The sequence below is a fragment of the Homo sapiens genome, chromosome 6 (genome assembly GCF_000001405.40).
Source record: "Homo sapiens chromosome 6, GRCh38.p14 Primary Assembly".
Taxonomy (NCBI): Eukaryota; Metazoa; Chordata; class Mammalia; order Primates; family Hominidae; genus Homo; species Homo sapiens.
Window position 1 is genome coordinate 110,589,387 of NC_000006.12, and position 17,002 is coordinate 110,606,388.

Genomic DNA, 17,002 nt, shown 5'->3' on the forward strand with positions numbered 1-17,002 from the left:
AATTCCTCCTCTAAACTATTCAAAGCATAGGCAGTTATTTTCAAACTTTTTTTTTTTTTTTTTTTTTTTTTTGAGACAGAGTCTTGCTCTGTCACCCAGGCTGGAATGCAGTGGTGTGATCTCGGCTCACCGCAACCTCAGCCTCCTGGGTTCAGGTGATTCTCCTGCCTCAGCCTCCTGGGTAGTTGGGATCATGGGTGTGTGCCACCATGCCCAGCTAATTTTTTGTGTGTATTTTTAGTAGAGACAGGGTTTCACCATGTTGGTCAGGCTGGTCTTGAACTCCTGACCTCAGGTGATCTACCCACCTCGGCCTCCCAGAGTACTGGAATTACAGGCGTGAGCCACCATGTCCAGCCTATTTTCAAACTTTAAATCACAGAATTCCTTCTTCAAGGAAGAAAATATTATTCCTATACCAATTTAAATGCAAACTAGCAGTGTGAACATAGGGGCAGGCCTAGAGCCCAACTCATCCCACTCCCCCACTGTCCACTCTTATCAGTTCTCACCTACCCTTGCTGGCTTCACCCACCCTGGCCCACTTGGGCCCTCAGGCACCTCGTCAGAACTCCTAAAACTGCACTGAACACAATGTGAAAGCCACCAATTAAAAAAGCAGAAGAGACCAGCATCAGGTAATTCCCCTAATAAATATTTACTGAGCAGCAACTGAGAACCAGGAACTGGGCTAGATGATGTAGGGGTGCACGGGAAATAAGGCCCCTGCCATGAAGAGACAGGAAAAGGTGATCATGTTTGTCAATAACATCTTAGCTGGATGCTGGATGATCCTTAGCTCATTTTGCCCTGGCATGAGCCCTGTGGTCTTCCTTTCACAGTTTAATACACACTGGGCTCCAAAGAGCTCACCGAGGGGCATACACACCATGCACCAGGGAGGGGCTGGGACCCAGATCTTCCTGACCAGAGCTGTGCTGTGCCCTCCAGAGCTCGCCATCAAGATGGGGAATTTCTCTGTACCCAGATACGCAAACACAGGCCCTCGGGAGCTGGAAATGTGAGAAATAACATGACTCTCTGAGGGTTATGCTGTCAATAGATCAAAGAGAAGATATTCACAAGTAGCTCCCAGGCTGAGGGCCTCTACTATAAACAGATAGAATATAGGCAGTGTTTAACTAAATAGAGTTGTTAGATGCAGGGGCGGTGGGGGTCAGCCACGAAAGGACAGGAAAGGAAAGGCCGAGGCAGATGTATACAAGGTGGACACAAGCACAATAGGGGACCAGAAGCTGGCTGAGGAGTTAGGTATGTCTAACCCATCCCAGGCCCCCATGGCATCCTGACTGTGGGATGAATTCATCAGCTCTTGAGCTTGAAGCCAGAGAGTCTTGTGTCTTTCCAGCTCCTATGTTCTGAGTCCAGGCCCGCTGCATCCTCTCTCTCTGCTGGCAAGAGGAAGAAGTGCTAGTGGGAGGGGTCTTCTTTCTTCCTGGAGATGCCCAGCATTGCAGTGCCTCCAGAAGGCCCGGACCACCAAGCCAGGCCACCCAGCCCTGCTTAATACTTCTTTCTCAGCCCAGAGTCATCTCTCCTCAGCTGTTCCATCATCAGAGGTTTCTCTCCTTGGACAGGGATTTCTCATGATGAATTTTAAAAGTGGTTATGAACAATGATGTGGTCTCCCACGAAGTTTTGACCACAGGAAGTGAATGTGCTGACTGAACCCTGAGATATGAGGTTCAGATGAGGGACCAGCAGTACTCATTGACCCTGCGTGGGCCCAGAAGTTAGTTTCAGCAAAGACTTCAAAGCAGCTATTACATATATGTTCAAATAATTAAAGAAAACTATAATGACAATGACTCAACAGACAGGGAGTCTCAATAGAGAGGTGGAAACTATAAACAAGAATTGAATTGAACATTCACTTCTGGCATGATGGGGTGAGAAGATAAACATGTCCCCTCCCAGAAAGGCAATTATAAAGCTGCACACAACTGCCAAAACATATGTAACACTTCTTAAAATGGAGGAACCCTTTGTTCAAACAGAAGTATGCATGGGAACTCAACTGCTGCATGGAACAAATGGAAACCTGAGGGGGAAGCAGACCATCCTTCTCTCCTAGTTTGACCTGCTGTCTCCTTTGATGGGTCTCAGCACCCCCTTGAGAACCAGGGCAGTGAACCGGTAAACTGGCATTTGGGGGCTCACCTTAGGCCCTTAGGGTAAAGCTGGATTATATGGTAATAATCCTATCTCCAGGGGGTCTTGGTTTAGGTCAGTGGATCTTACTATAACCATTACATCCCAGGAGCCTTTCTAGAAATTTGTAGGGACTTTTGAGGTTATCTAAAAATAGGGGGTTAGTGTTGGCCTGTAGAGGGTGAGGGCCAGAGTTGCTGGGTGTGCCAAAATACGCCAGACTGTGCCCCACAATGAATTATCCTGCAGCCTTTACAACTTTTGAATGTCCTGAAATCTGTTTATAATTTTATAAACTAATAAAGTGAACCTAACTCACTTTTCATATAAACAAAATATACTTTTTGCATAGTTTTAATATATGCTGAATTGCTAGAAATAAGACTACCACATAAATCAAGCTAAGCTGATTGGCTTCTTTTTTTCTTTAACGTCACCAAAAGTTGATCCTCGTTTCAGAAAGTTGCACCATGACCACAGAAAAGATCTACAGAAAAATCATAATAAATAATAAAGCCACATCACTGATAGTACCATGGCTTGTGGCATCTGAGTTGCCAATACAATACCTCATATCAATCTGCATTTTCTTACTAGTTAGTAGTAGCTTCTAATGAAGTCATGCCAAACATCTATACAATGAAATACACATTGTAGACGGTCTCCAACTTATGATAGTTTGACTTACAATTTTTCAACTTTATGATCCTGCAAAAGTGATATTTACTCAGTAGCTCCTAGATTTGTGATGGATGTAATCCTGTCATAAGCTGGGGAGCATCAGCATTTTATCGTAAGTTACTTTCCTTTTATTCTCTCTTATAATATTAACACCTAGAGTATCGTATCAATGTATTTGGAAATTGCATGTGGAGGTCAATTATATTATCTATGATTTTCATGATAGATAAAGGGCATAACAAAAATATTTCTTGTAAAAAGGGGAGGAAGGTCTGACAGAGAACTACTGACTTAAACAGTACTCTTATCATTTCCACCATCTCTACTACTTTCTTTCAATGGGGTGGGGTAGAGAAAACATGAGCTAATATGAGAAAAATATAGGTGTATACAATTAAATGCCAAACCACATGGTTCAGCCTGGGTATCTAGGATAAATTCTTGAAAAAGGTTGCTCAATGGGAGCTGGAGTAATTAGGGAGGCTTCATGGAGATGAGGCTTAAGCAGGACTTTTGGGGTGGGGGATTAGGGTTTGGAGGGCAGAAGAGAGGAACCTCTTCTAGTGCCTTGCAATATAGGAAGGACTCAGTGCAAATGTGTTGAAGGTGAAGGGGAGAATAGTCTTAGCCTAGGCACTGCAGCACGCGAACAGACAGCCGTGCAGAGGCACAGGGCTGCTAAACGTGTTCTGCCTCCTCAGAGGCTCCAAGGGAATTCAGCACTTAGTTACGGATTTCACTGTTACAGTGCTTTGAGAATTGTTTATCATTACAGCCTGTCACTGCTGCTAAGGAATAAATGTTTAATTTCCTAATTCAGAGGCACTAGAAATAGTAATATTAGAGTCATTCATCTAAACATAAAGATGGCAGCCCTTAGTAATAATAGCAGGAGACACTCAGTTTGTAATCAGCCACTGCTTTGTAACAATAAAGATTTCCAAACAAAATGCTTTGAATGTTCTGTAATCATGCTAATGGCATTAAATAAGTCTCTGACTGGTTAAACTCCCCGTATCTGAATGATTTTGACTGCTAGTATCAGAAAATCTAAATAAAATTTATTTTTAAAATAAGGTCATTTATAATCTCCCAGAAAGGAAATCCAGAGATAGGGCAGTTCCAGGACTGATTAGATCACAGATTCGATGCTGTTCTTAAGGATCCCAGCTCTTTCCACCTTTGTTCTCATTGGTTCTCACGTTTCAGCTTGGCCTTTGAGACTAGCTCCCTTCATGGCCCTGACATGGCTGTCACAGTTCCTTAGCTCATTTACAGATATCCACAGGTAGAAAAGGGAATTTTGGTGTCTTGGTTATCTTTTTAAGCTGAAACAAACCCTACTAGAACCCCCCTAGAAGATTTTCCCTCCAATTTTATTGGCCAGAATTTTATTACATTCCCTGTGATATGGTTAGGAGGCTTGCCCCCTCTAAATCTCATGTTGAAGTGACCCTCAATGTTGGAGAAGGGGGGCCTAGTGGGAGGTATTTGGGTGATGGGGGTGGGTCCTTCATGAATGGCTTTGTGCGCTCCCCATGGACATTAGTTCACACAAGAGCTGGTTGTTTAAACAGCCTTGGACACTGCCTTCTTTCTCTCCCTCTCTCTCCCTAGTCATGTGACACAACTGCTCCTCCTTCACCTTCTGCCATGATTGAAAGCTTCCTGAGACCTCCCCAGAAGCAGATGCCAGTGCCATGCTTCTTGTACAGCCTGCAGAACCATGAGTGGTATAGTTTGGCTCTGTGTCCCCACCCAAATCTCATATAAAATTGTAATCCCTATGTGTTCAGGGAGGACCTGGTAGGAGGTGATTGGTCATGGGGGTAGTTTCCCCTGTGGTGTTCTTGTGACAGTGAGGGAGTTCTCATGAGATCTCAGGGTTTAAATGTGGTATTTTCCTCTGTGCTCTCTCTCTCTCTCCTGCCACCTTGTGAAGAAGGCACCTGCTTCCCCTTCCACCATGGTTGTAAGTTTCCTGAGGCCTCCCCAGCCAGGCAGAACTATAAGTCAATTAAACCTCTTTTGTTTATAAATTACCCAGTCTCAGGTAGTGTCTTTATAGCAGTGTGAAAATGGACTAACACAGTGAGCCAAAATAAACCTCTTTTCTTTATAAATTAACCAGTCTTAGATATTTTTTAATAGCAATGCAAATGGACTAACACACCATGCTTAAACCAATAGCTTGGCAAAGAAAACATGATGCTGCAGTTTGAATGTCCACTCCAAAACTCATGTTGACATTTAATTGCCATTGTGATAATATTAAGAGATGGGTTGGCCAGGCATGGTGGCTTATGCCTGTTATCCCAGCACTTTGGGAGGCCGAGGTGGGCGGATCATGAGGTCAGGAGATTGAGACCATCCTGGCTAACGCAGTGAAACCCCATCTCTACTAAAAATACAAAAATTAGCTGGGTGTGGTGGCGGGCACTTGTAGTCCCAGCTACTCGGGAGGCTGAGGGAGGAGAGTGGTGTGAACTTGGGAGGCAGAGCTTGCAATGAGCCGAGACAGCGCCAATGCACTCCAGCCTGGGTGACAGAGAAAGACTCTGTCTGAAAAAAAAAAAAAGAGAGATGGGACCTTTTAAGAGGTGATCAGATTATGAGGGCTCTGACTTCATGAATGGACTAATGCCATCTTCACAGGAGTGGGTTAGTTATGGCAGGAGTGGGCTCTTGATAAAAGGATGAGTTCACCCTGTTTCCTCTCTCTGTCTCACGCACTCTTGCCCTCTTTGGCCATGTGATGCCTTCTACAATGTTATGATACAGCAAGAAGGGCCTCACCAAACATGGCTGTTTGATTGTGAACTTCCTATCGTTTAGAACCATGAGCCAAATAAATTACCCAGACTGCACTATTCTACTATAGCACAGAAAATGGACTATGACAGAGTTCAGTGTATTTGGTTAGGTCCAATCAGTATTTATCTGGAGCTGAGGAAGGGGCCCACCCTTCTCAGAAGGACATGGCCACTCTGGACAGAGTGAACAAATCAAGCTTCTGACAGCAAGGAGGAAGCAAAGGATGGCTGGACAGGAGGCAACAACAGCATCTGTTGCAACCAGGGATTTCCAAATTGTTTCATCAGAGCATTCTTTGGAGGTACAAGAAAAAAACAGTTCTTTGGCCAAGTAAGCTTAGAAAGGTTGCACTATATCACCTTCCTGGAAATGCACAATGTTATCAGCATATTAAAGGCTTGGCCGGGCACCATGGCTCATGCCTGTAATCCCACCATTTTGGGAGGCTGAAACGGGTGGATCACTTGAGCTCAGGAATTCGAGACCAGCCTGGGCAACGTGGTGAAACCCCGTCTCTATGAAAAAAACAAAAATTAGCCGGGTGTGGTGGCACACGCCTGTAGTCCCAGCTACTTGGGAGGCTGAGGTGGGAGGATCACTTGAGCCTGGTAGGCAGAGGTTGCAGGGAGCCAAGATCATGCCAGTATACTCCAGCCTGCATAACAGAGCAAGACTCTGTCTGAAAAAAAAAAAAAAAAAAAAGGGCTCTGATGAAGTCCTATTCTTTTTGTTTGTTCTGAAACTGGGTCTTGCTCTGTTACCTAGGCTAGAGTGCAGTGGTGCCATCACAACTCACTGCAGCCTTGACTTCTAGGCTCAAGGGATCCTCCTGCCTCAGCCTTCAGAGTAGCTGGGACTACAGGCATGAGCCACCATGCCTGGCTATTTTTTTTTTTTAACTTTTTGTAGAAATGGGGTCTCGCTTTGGTCAGGCTGGTCTCAAACTCCTGGGTTCAAGCAATCCTCCCAGGTCAGCCTCCTAAAGTACTGGGATTACAGGCGTGAGCCACCACGCTGGCCTGGTCCTGTTCTTTTTAATGGTGTTAACCCACAATTTTCCAGATGTATTTGGCCATGTAATTTTTTGCTTGTGAAAATCTGTGAACAAGACAATAAAAGCAGTGTTTCATGAAACATTCATTTGTGACACACTAGGATGGATATTGAATATTTGTTTGGCTTTCTGAACAATATTTTAAGTTGGATTTAGATGTTAATAAGTTTCATGTGCAGATACATTGATAAGGAGGATTTTAGGTAGTTTTAACTTGAAATGTTTTGCTGATTTTTTAAAACAGCGTAAAATGTTGCAGAATCCATTTGCTGCTTTCTCTGAATTAGAAAGGGTGTGGTGGCCGTGGCAGGCTGGAGATTGGCTTGTTTGCTGAAACTATATCTGATGAAAAGATCTAGATTCTAGAGCCATTGTTTTTATTCCTTAGCCTTGGGAGCAAACAAAAGTTCATTCTGTTGGCCAGGGCAAGTCCCAGATAAGATGTTCAGCCTTTCTATTATTTTTTTTTTTCCACAGAACATAGGGACAGGAACAATACAAAGAGCCTGTCAAAAGCCACGTAGTATGTAAACCACCCCAAGGGCAACGGAATGGTTGATGGTTTCCAACAGTGAGGTTACATGGCCTTGTGTAGATTAGTAACCAATTAGAAAAGTTTCAATTTAGGAAGTTATTCCATATGCCCAATCAATCTTCTATAGCTCACGTAAACAATGTAATTGGACATTCATTATATGTACAGGGCCCTGGGGAGATTCAAAGGTGAACAAAAACAGAAATACGGTACTTGCTCTAACAAGTACACTATTTAGTTCATGTCAAGATACAAGCCTAAATGTTAAATGAGAATAGAACAACTAAATAATGCAGGGCAATTATACGAGAAAAGTCACCAGGCAGTTGTAAGACTACATGAGGCTGGGCACAGTGGCTCACGCCTGTAATCCCAGCACTTTGGGAGGCTGAGGTGGGCAGATCACTTGAGGTCAGGAGTTTGAAACCAGCCTGGCCAATATAGTGAAATTCCATCTGTACTAAAAATATAAAAATTAGCCAGGCCTGGTGGTCGGTGCCTGTAATCCCAGCTACTGGGGAGGCTGAGGCATGAGAATCACTTGAACCCGGGGGGGGTGGAGGTTGCAGTGAGCCAAGATCGTGTCACCGCTGAGCCAAGATTGTGTCACTGCACTCCAGCCTGGGTGACAGAGCGAGACTGTGTCTCCAAAAAAAAAAAAAAAAGACTACATGAAACACACACAAGAATTTCTGCTTCAAAACCTATTTTTCCTCATTGAGAATTTGCTAGAAAAAAAAAAGAACGTGTTACAAACAATTGCAGGAGAACTTTTCATACCATTTAGTTGGTAGAAGCCTCCATTTGGCCTGTAATTCTTTTTTGAGTCATCTTGTTCAAGTTCCTATTAAGCAAATAAGTAATTATATATGAAAATATGTATACTCATATATTACAATTAATGCTAAGCTCCTTGCTCAGGTCAAAAAAGCTTTTATAAACATAGTATGAGCAGAAAAGCAAATACAAATATATTCCTTGCCTATGTGAAAATATGTGTGGATTTTTTTAAGCCATTGGAAAATTGAGAAAGTGTTTTTTAGAAGATGTTTAGATATGTGTGGGTAGAATTGAAATGCTCCTGGTTAGAAAAACTTAGAAAGTTTCTACAAATTCTCTAGGGAGAAATATGCCTTTGGGTTTTCTGGATCCACCTCTTCTCCCTTTTCCACTTGCATTTGAACCTTCTCTTTCCTTTGCCCTGCTCAATTGGGATGATGCTTCCAGCAGTTTCTCCTAAGGGCAGGACTTTGGAAGGGAGCCCTGTTTTATTGGTTTAGAGTTTATAGACCTTGACTGCTCCAACTCCATCAGGCCTCACCGAGTGGTGCTTACCAGCTAACTGAAATCTGAGAGTTCCTACTCCCACCCACTCGTGCACTAGGGGCTGCTGTAATCAGAGGGACCCCTTGTGCTGTCTACTTGCAGATGGATGATCTCTTTTTCTCTCAAAATTCACAAGTTATTTTTGTTCCTGGCTGTCTTTCTCATATAAACGGTACAAAAGTACTGGCAACTGAGAAGTTTTGTGAATCTCTAGGCCACGCCTTATAAGATATGATCACTTAGGAGTTGGAAGTACGGATGGTAATTTATGAGAACCACAGTGTAGAAATAGAGGAATTATGTTCCCTTTAGAATCTCAGATGCAGGTGGATCCAGACTAGCTGGGTGGCTTCTTTTTAATGTTGCAATTGAACGTCCAGAAAAGATAGTTGCTCCTTGGTAGAACCACAGCTATAAATGGTATAGAAATACAATTTAGTGAACTTTTCCTTGCTGATGTAGGAGGAACAAAAGGAGGTGATGGGTGATGTCACCAAAACACAACAAAAGAGTGCCTCATTTTTTCAAGAGTTTCGTTAATGAAGCCAGGTCCTGGTGCTTGTTGGACAGCCCGCTGCTTGTGGGAATGCCTCCAGGCACGAGGAGTGGTGCCCTTCTTGGCATTCACTCATGCAAAATGGCTAACCCAGTCATCTGTACAGATACAGATGTCATCCTCTGTCAAAAGAGTGATCATCAAATGAAGGAGATAAAGAACATTGAACTTTGTATTTATACTAGAAACACAGATTCAAACACAGAAGTTGGAGAGGAAAGTGCAAACCAAAGGAAATCATATTTATTCAGAATCTACTTTGGGGCAGGCACTCTGGTCAGCACTCATCTCATTTATTCTGTAAACTCTGTGAGGTAAATAATATTTTTGGCATTTGACAAGGACTAAAACAAGATCACAGAGGTTCAGTAACTTATCTAAGATCACACAGCTCAGAGCCCTGTGTATAGAAAGGGCTGGGCATCAAGCCTAAGTGTGTCTAGTCTCCAAAACCCGTGTAATTTTTGTCATGCTGTGTTGATACAGCTGAGGCAGAGGTGAATATCACAACTCAATCATTACTAGGAAGTATAAGTAGAAATCATCCCTGTGAGATTTAAGCAGCTCAATGTTTATGGTCTTTTCTGCAATGTGGGAAAAATACAATGGGAAATGCCATGAAATCAACTGATAGGGGCCCTGGGTCAATCAACTTTTTCCTGTTCTTGGTCATAAGAAAGGTAACCACCCTGAAAAAAATGTTGGGATCAGGGAGTAGTTTTCCCCAAATACTTGAGAGGTTATCCCTTGGTGCTATGGTTGGAATGTATCCCTCAAATTTCATGTGTTGGAAACTTAATCTCCAATGCAACAGTGTTGAGAGGTGAGATAAGAGGTGATTAGGTCGGCTGGGCGCGGTGGCTCACGCCTGTAATCCCAGCACTTTGGGAGGCCGAGGCGGGCGGATCACGAGGTCAGGAGATCGAGACCATCTTGGCTAACACGGTGAAACCCTGTCTCTACTAAAAATACAAAAAAAATTAGCCGGGCGTGGTAGCGGGCGCCTGTAGTCCCAGCTACTCGGGAGGCTGAGGCAGGAGAATGGCGTGAACCCGGGAGGTGGAGCTTGCAGTGAGCCAAGACAGCGCCACTGCAGTCCAGCCTGGGCGAAAGAGCGAAACTCCGTCTCAAAAAAAAAAAAAAAAAAAAAAGAGGTGATTAGGTCATGAAGTCTCTGCTCTCAGGAATGAATAGACTAATGTCTTTATTGCAGCATGGGTTTGTTACCACAAGACTGGATTTGTTATCAAAGCAAATTCTGTTCCCTCTTGCTCTCTCACACTCTCTGGCCTTTCTGCAGTCTGCCATGGGATGATGAAGCATGCAGGCCCTTGTCAGATGCCAGCACCTTGATCTTGGACTTCCCAGCCTCCAGACTGTGAGAAATAAATTTCTTTTCTTTATAAATTACCCAGTCTGTGATATTCTGTTATAGCAGCACGAAATGGACTAAGACACTTGGGATGACTTCAAAACTCCTCTGCTCCTCTACCTATGATCTTCATTCATGTTCAGCAGCTGGCACTCATAAGTACACAAAGATCTAAGAAAAATGTACAATTTAGAAAAAGATTTTCATTGACAAAAGTTGAACTAAAAAAGATGTTGTATTTTATGCTCAGCAAACAAAATGAGATTTTTGTATTTATGTAAGATCACCTATTTTCTTCTCCCTACTCCCAAAGACTAAGATTAATTTAGTGCTCAAGCACCCATAGTTGCCTGTCAAGGTTAGTAGTGTTAAAATTGAGAATCCTCAGTGGAGCCAGAGACTAGGAAGGAAAGGAGGCCCAAGCAGAGGTAGGAGAAGGGACAGAACCTGACTCTCTCATTAGAAGGAGGACCAAAATTTTTTTTTAAGGCACAGGACACACTACTTTTTGCCAATCAGATTGGTTCGTAATTTAAAGATTGCTCACAGTGAGTTTTGGTAAGGCCAAAGGATATGGGCATTCTCATACACTGTTAGTGGGGGTGTAATTAGTACAGCCATTTTCGAAAGTAATTTGGGAGAATGTGTGAGAAGAGTACTCATAAGTCACTGGTTCTTAAACTCCAGCATGCATCAGAATCACCTGGAGGCTCATTAAAGCAGATTGCTGAGTCCCACCCCCAGAGTTTCAGATTCAGTGGTTTAGAGTGGGGCCTGAGAAGATTTAGTTCTAAAAAGTTCCCAGGTGATACTGATAGCCAGAATCTACAAAGAACATAAACAGATTTACAGGAAAAAAACAAACAACCCCATCAACAAGTGGGCGAAGGATATGAACAGACACTTCTCAAAAGAAGACACTTATGCAGCCAAAAGACACATGAAAAAATGCTCATCATCACTGGCCATCAGAGAAATGCATATCAAAACCACAATGAGATACCATCTCACACCAGTTAGAATGGCGATCATTAAAAAGTCAGGAAACAACAGGTGCTGGAGAGGATGTGGAGAAGTAGGAACACTTTTACACTGTTGGTGGGACTGTAAACTAGTTCAACCATTGTGGAAGACAGTGTGGCGATTCCTCAAGGATCCAGAACTAGAAATACCATTTGACCCAGCCATCCCATTACTGGGTATATACCCAAAGGATTATAAATCATGCTGCTATAAAGACAAATGCACACTTAGGTTTATTGCGGCACTATTCACAATAGCAAAGACTTGGAACCAACCCAAATGTCCATCAATGATAGATTGGATTAAGAAAATGTGGCACATATACACCATGGAATACTATGCAGCCATAAAAAATGATGAGTTCATGTCCTTTGTAGGGGCATGGATGAAGCTGGAAACCATCATTCTCAGCAAACTATTGCAAGGACAAAATACCAAACACCGCATGTTCTCACTTATAGGTGGGAATTGAACAATGAGAACACTTGGACACAGGAAGGGGAACATCACACACTGGGGCCTGTTGTGGGGTAGGGGGAGGGGGGAGGGATAGCATTGGGAGATATACTTTATGTAAATGACGAGTTAATGGGTGCAGCACACCAACATGGCACATGTATACATATGTAACAAACCTGCACGTTGTGCACGTGTACCCTAGAACTTAAAGTATTAAAAAAAAAAAAATTAGCCAGGCCTAGTGGCACACACCTGCAGTCCTAGCTACTTGGGAGACTGAGATAGGAGGATAACTTGTGCCCAGGAATTCAAGGTTGCAGTGAACTGTGATCATCCCACTGCACTCCAGCCTTGGCAACAGGGGCAAGACCCCCATCTCTAAAAACAATAACAATAATAATAATAATTTAAAAATTTTTAAATGGGGATAACCTGGGCAATAGCAAGAACCCCATCTCTAAAAACAAAAAATAATTGAAATAAATTTTTAAGAAATGGGGATAATAATAGTGTCTACTTCATACACTTGTGAGAATGAAATGAATTAATATATATAAAGTGCGTATCAGAAGTGCTCAATAAATATTAGCTCCATAAATGTTATCATAATTAAAGGTGCTCATTGCCTTTCAGTTGGTAATTTCATATCTACGTATATATCTTATGAGAAATATTTATATTACAACATAGATGAAGGCATTCCTTGCCTTGTGGTCTCATCATTCCAATCTCTGCCTCCACCTTACCATTGCCTTATCCTCTGTGTTTCTCCCAGGAATGAATGCAAGGTTCTTCCAGCATTCAAAAATCAATGTGATTCATTACATTAACAACATAAAGGAGAAAAAAGTTATGATCATTTCATATATAGAAAAGGCATTTAACAAAAGTTAGCATCAGTTCATGATGAGAACTGTTATCAAAATAGGAGTAGAAAAAAACTTATTCAATTCAATAAAGGGCATCAGTGAAATTTTTTTTTTTTTTTTTTTTTGAGATGGAGTCTCGCCCTGTCACCCAGGCTGAAGTGCAATGGCACAATCTCGGCTCACTGCAACCTCCACCTCCCAGGTTCAAACGATTCTCCTGCCTCAGCCTCCTGAGTAGCTGGGATTACAGGCACCTGCCACCATGCCCAGCCAATTTTTGTATTTTTAGTAGAGACGGGGTTTCACCATGTTGGCCAGGCTGGTCTCGAACTCCTGACCTTGTGATCCACCCGCCTTGGCCTCCCAGAGTGCTGGGATTACAGGTGTGAGCCACCTCGCCCGACCAAAAAACTTTTATCGAACACCATACCTAATGGTGAAATATGAAACACTTTCCCTCCAAGATTCAGACCATTACAAGGTATTCACTCACACCAATTCTTTTGATATTGTATTAGGAGTACTAGCCCATGCATTTAGGGAAAATAAATAAATAAATAAATAAAAGTTATACAGATTGGAAAGGGAGAAGTACCAGTGTCTTTTTTCACAGATGACCTGTTTGTGTATGTAGAAAACTAAAGGAATCCTTCCTCACACACACATAAACACTTCTAGAACAGTGAATTTAGCAAGGTTGCAGGCTATAAAGGCAAAATGCAAAAAACAATTGTACTTCTATTTACTGGCAACAAATAAGTAGAAAACGAAATTTTAAAAGTGCCATTTCTAGTAGCATCAACATCTAGGAATAAATTTAACAAAAGATCTGCAGACCTCTACACTGAAATTTGCAAAACATTGCTAAGAAACATTGAAGAAGACCTAAATAAATGGAGAGATACATCATGTTCATGGACCAGGAAACTCTATATTATTAAGATACCAGTTCTCTCCAAGTTGATTTATAGATACAAGGAAATTCCAATCAAAACATAGCAGGTTTTATTTGTAGAAATTGACAAGCTGATTTTAAAATATATATGGAAACGTGTAGACTCTAGAGTAACCAAAATAATCCTGCAAATAAGAACAAAGTTATAAAGCTTACCCTATCTTGTTTTAAGACTTATTTTAAAATTCCAATACTTAAAATAGTGAGGCCAGACGTGGTGGCTCATGGTTGTAATCCCAACAGTTTGGGAGGCCGAGGCAGAAGATTCACTTGAGCCCAGGAGTTTCAAATCAGGCTGAGGAACATGGCAAGACTTCATCTCTACAAAAAATAAAATAAAATTAGCTGGGCGTGGTGGCACATGCCTGTAGTCACAGCTACTTCAGAGGCTGAGGTGAGAGGATCACTTGAGCCTGGGAAGTTGAGGCTGCAGTGAGCTGTGATCACACCACTGCACTCCAGCCTGGGCAACAGAGTGAGAGCTTGTCTCAATAATAATAATAATAATAATAATAATAATAATAATAATAATAATAGTGGCTTAGGATAGACAACAGTTAAATGGAACAGAATAAGAAGTCCACAAATAGATTCACACACATACAGTCAATTGATTTTTCAACAAAGACACAAATGCAATTCAGTGAGGCAAAATGACATAGTTTGGTTATTTGTCTCCTCCAAATCTCATGTTGAAATGTGATTCCCAGTGTTGGAGGTGGGACCTGGTGGGAGGAGATTGGATCACGGGGACCAATCCCTCATGAATGACTTAGCACCATCCCCATGGTGATAAGTGAGTTCATGTGAGACCTGGTTGTTTAAAAGCCTGGGATCTCCCTCCTTTCTTTCTTGCTCCCACTCTCGCCATGTAATGTGCCTGCTCCCACTTTGCCTTCTGCCATGATTGTAAGCTTCCTGAGGCCCTCACCAGAAACCGAGCAGATGTTGGTGCCATGCTTGTATGGCCTGCAGAACCATGAGCCGATTAAACCTCTTTTCTTTATAAATTACCCAGTCTCAGGTTTTCCTTTATAGTAACGCAAAAATGGACTAATGCAGAAAGGAATGTCTTTTTATCAAATAGTAGCTAGATAACTGAGTATTCATATGAAAAAACTGATCCCTGACCTCCACCTCACATATTACACAAAAATTATTTCGAAATGGACCTGAGACCTAAACAAAAATGCTAAAACCATAAATCTAGAAGAAAGTAAAGGTATCTTCATATGATAGTCAAGGGTTTCTCAGAATACACACAGACACAGAAAAAAGGGATGAACTCTACCTCATCAAAATTAACATTTTGATGTTAAAATTGACATTATTAAAACAATAAAAAAAATTTTACGCTGCATGCATCTGACATAGGACTTATATTCAAAACATATAAAGAATGCTTACAAATCAATAATAAAACTTTTAAAAGTGGAAAAAGTCTTAGACACTACAGAAAAAAAAAGATAATACAAATGGCCAAAAAGCACGTGGAAAAGTGCTCAACCTCATTAGTTAGTTGGGAAATGTAAATTAAAGCTATAACGACATACCATTACAGACCCATTTGAATTGCTGAAATTAAAAACATTGACAACATTAAATGTTATTAAAAATGTAAAACAATTGAAATTCTTATGCACTGCTCGTAGATTATAAAAGGATACAATAATAATATTGGAAAATGCTAGACATTTTTTAAAGATGAAGTATACAGCTGTCCTATAACTCAACAATTCTAAGTATACCCAAGAGAAATGGAAACATTTGTCCACAAAATTTATACAAAAATGTTCACAGCAGCTTCATTCATAATAGCCCCAAACTGGAGACAACCCAAATGTCCAGTAACAGACAAATGACTAAACAAATTGTGGTATATTTATGTAATGGAATATTATACAGCAATAAAAAGAAACAAATCACTAATATACTCAACATAGATAACTGTTAAAAACAACATTTTGTACAAAAGAACCTAGACAAAATGAGTACAAACTATATGATTCCATTTGTATGAAATTCTAAAAAGGCAAAATTAAAATATGATGGTAGACATCAGAACGGTGGTTGCCTCTGTGGGTGAGGAGGTATTGACTACAAATGACAATGAAGGAATTTGAGGGGATGGTAATGAAAAGATTCTATTTCTTGATTTGGATTTTGGTTATATGGGTGTGCACATTCATCAAAATTCTTTGAACTGTACACTTAAGATCTGTGCATTTTACTACTTATAAAATATATCAATAAAGAAAAAAGAAAAATTTAATCAGACGTTTACAACCCAAACACGGCATCTGCAGCTGAATTCAGTGAAATCTGGCACCATCTGGTTTATAACTTAAGGCCTACAAGTTTGAATTAATGTAGGTTAATCTTCCAACCAAAGAGGAAAGTTCAGTATAGGATAGCATTTGCTTGGAGGACCCAGATCTTTCATTCATTCATTCATTTGAGACTGAATCTTGCTCTGTCACCCAGGCTGAAGTGCAGTGGTGTGATCATAGCTCACTGCAGTCTAGAACTCTGGCCTCAAGCAATCCTCCCACCTTGGCCTCCCAAAACACTGGGATTGCAGGTGTGAGCCACTGTCCCCAGCCTATGGGCCCAGATCTTTTTTTAAAAGAGGATTTTCTCAGGACCAGCGAATTCATGTAAGAGAATAAATGCAGAGGACAAGGCTGGAGGAAGGTACAAGTCTGAAATATTTGAAGCTTGTCTGCCTAGTCTCCAGTCTGCCTTCTGATATGCTGTGAGTTGGACCTATTCAGCCCATCCTCCCCACCACCATGAAAGAGATCTTCCTAAGATGCAAATTTGAAATTCATGTGGTCTTTCCAGATTCATCTCCAGCCTTTCTTCTCTCCCCCACCCAGACACACATACACACACATCATTCTCAAGTTCTTGCTGTTCTCACATACACCTCACTCGTTCATGCTTCTTTCTTTGCCTGGAGTCCTTACCCTCTGGTTCACTCTGTCAAACATCTGTCTTTGACACACGCTGTGACCCCCCAGGCAGCTGTCCCACTCCTCCATGCTCTCTTGTTTAGTCCTTATCGCACTGTCTTGTTGTCTCATGACCTGCCTTAGGTCTTTGCCCTTCTTCAACTCTAGTTACAGGGCTGGGAATATCTTACACACATTGGCCATGTTGGCGTCTCCAATTTTCCAGCATAGT

At 41.6% G+C, this 17,002-nt stretch overlaps 1 pseudogene, besides 1 other annotated feature; it reads left to right on the plus strand.

The window, feature by feature from the left end:
* Window positions 1,477–1,536: an enhancer, noted in NCBI's record as "active region_24935". NCBI's record gives its function as "activates an Ori minimal core promoter by ATAC-STARR-seq in GM12878 lymphoblastoid cells {active_cell/tissue: GM12878}" and the evidence as "EXISTENCE:reporter gene assay evidence [ECO:0000049][PMID:35858748]".
* On the plus strand, window positions 8,718–9,303 carry LOC100420531 (abhydrolase domain containing 10, depalmitoylase pseudogene; annotated as a pseudogene).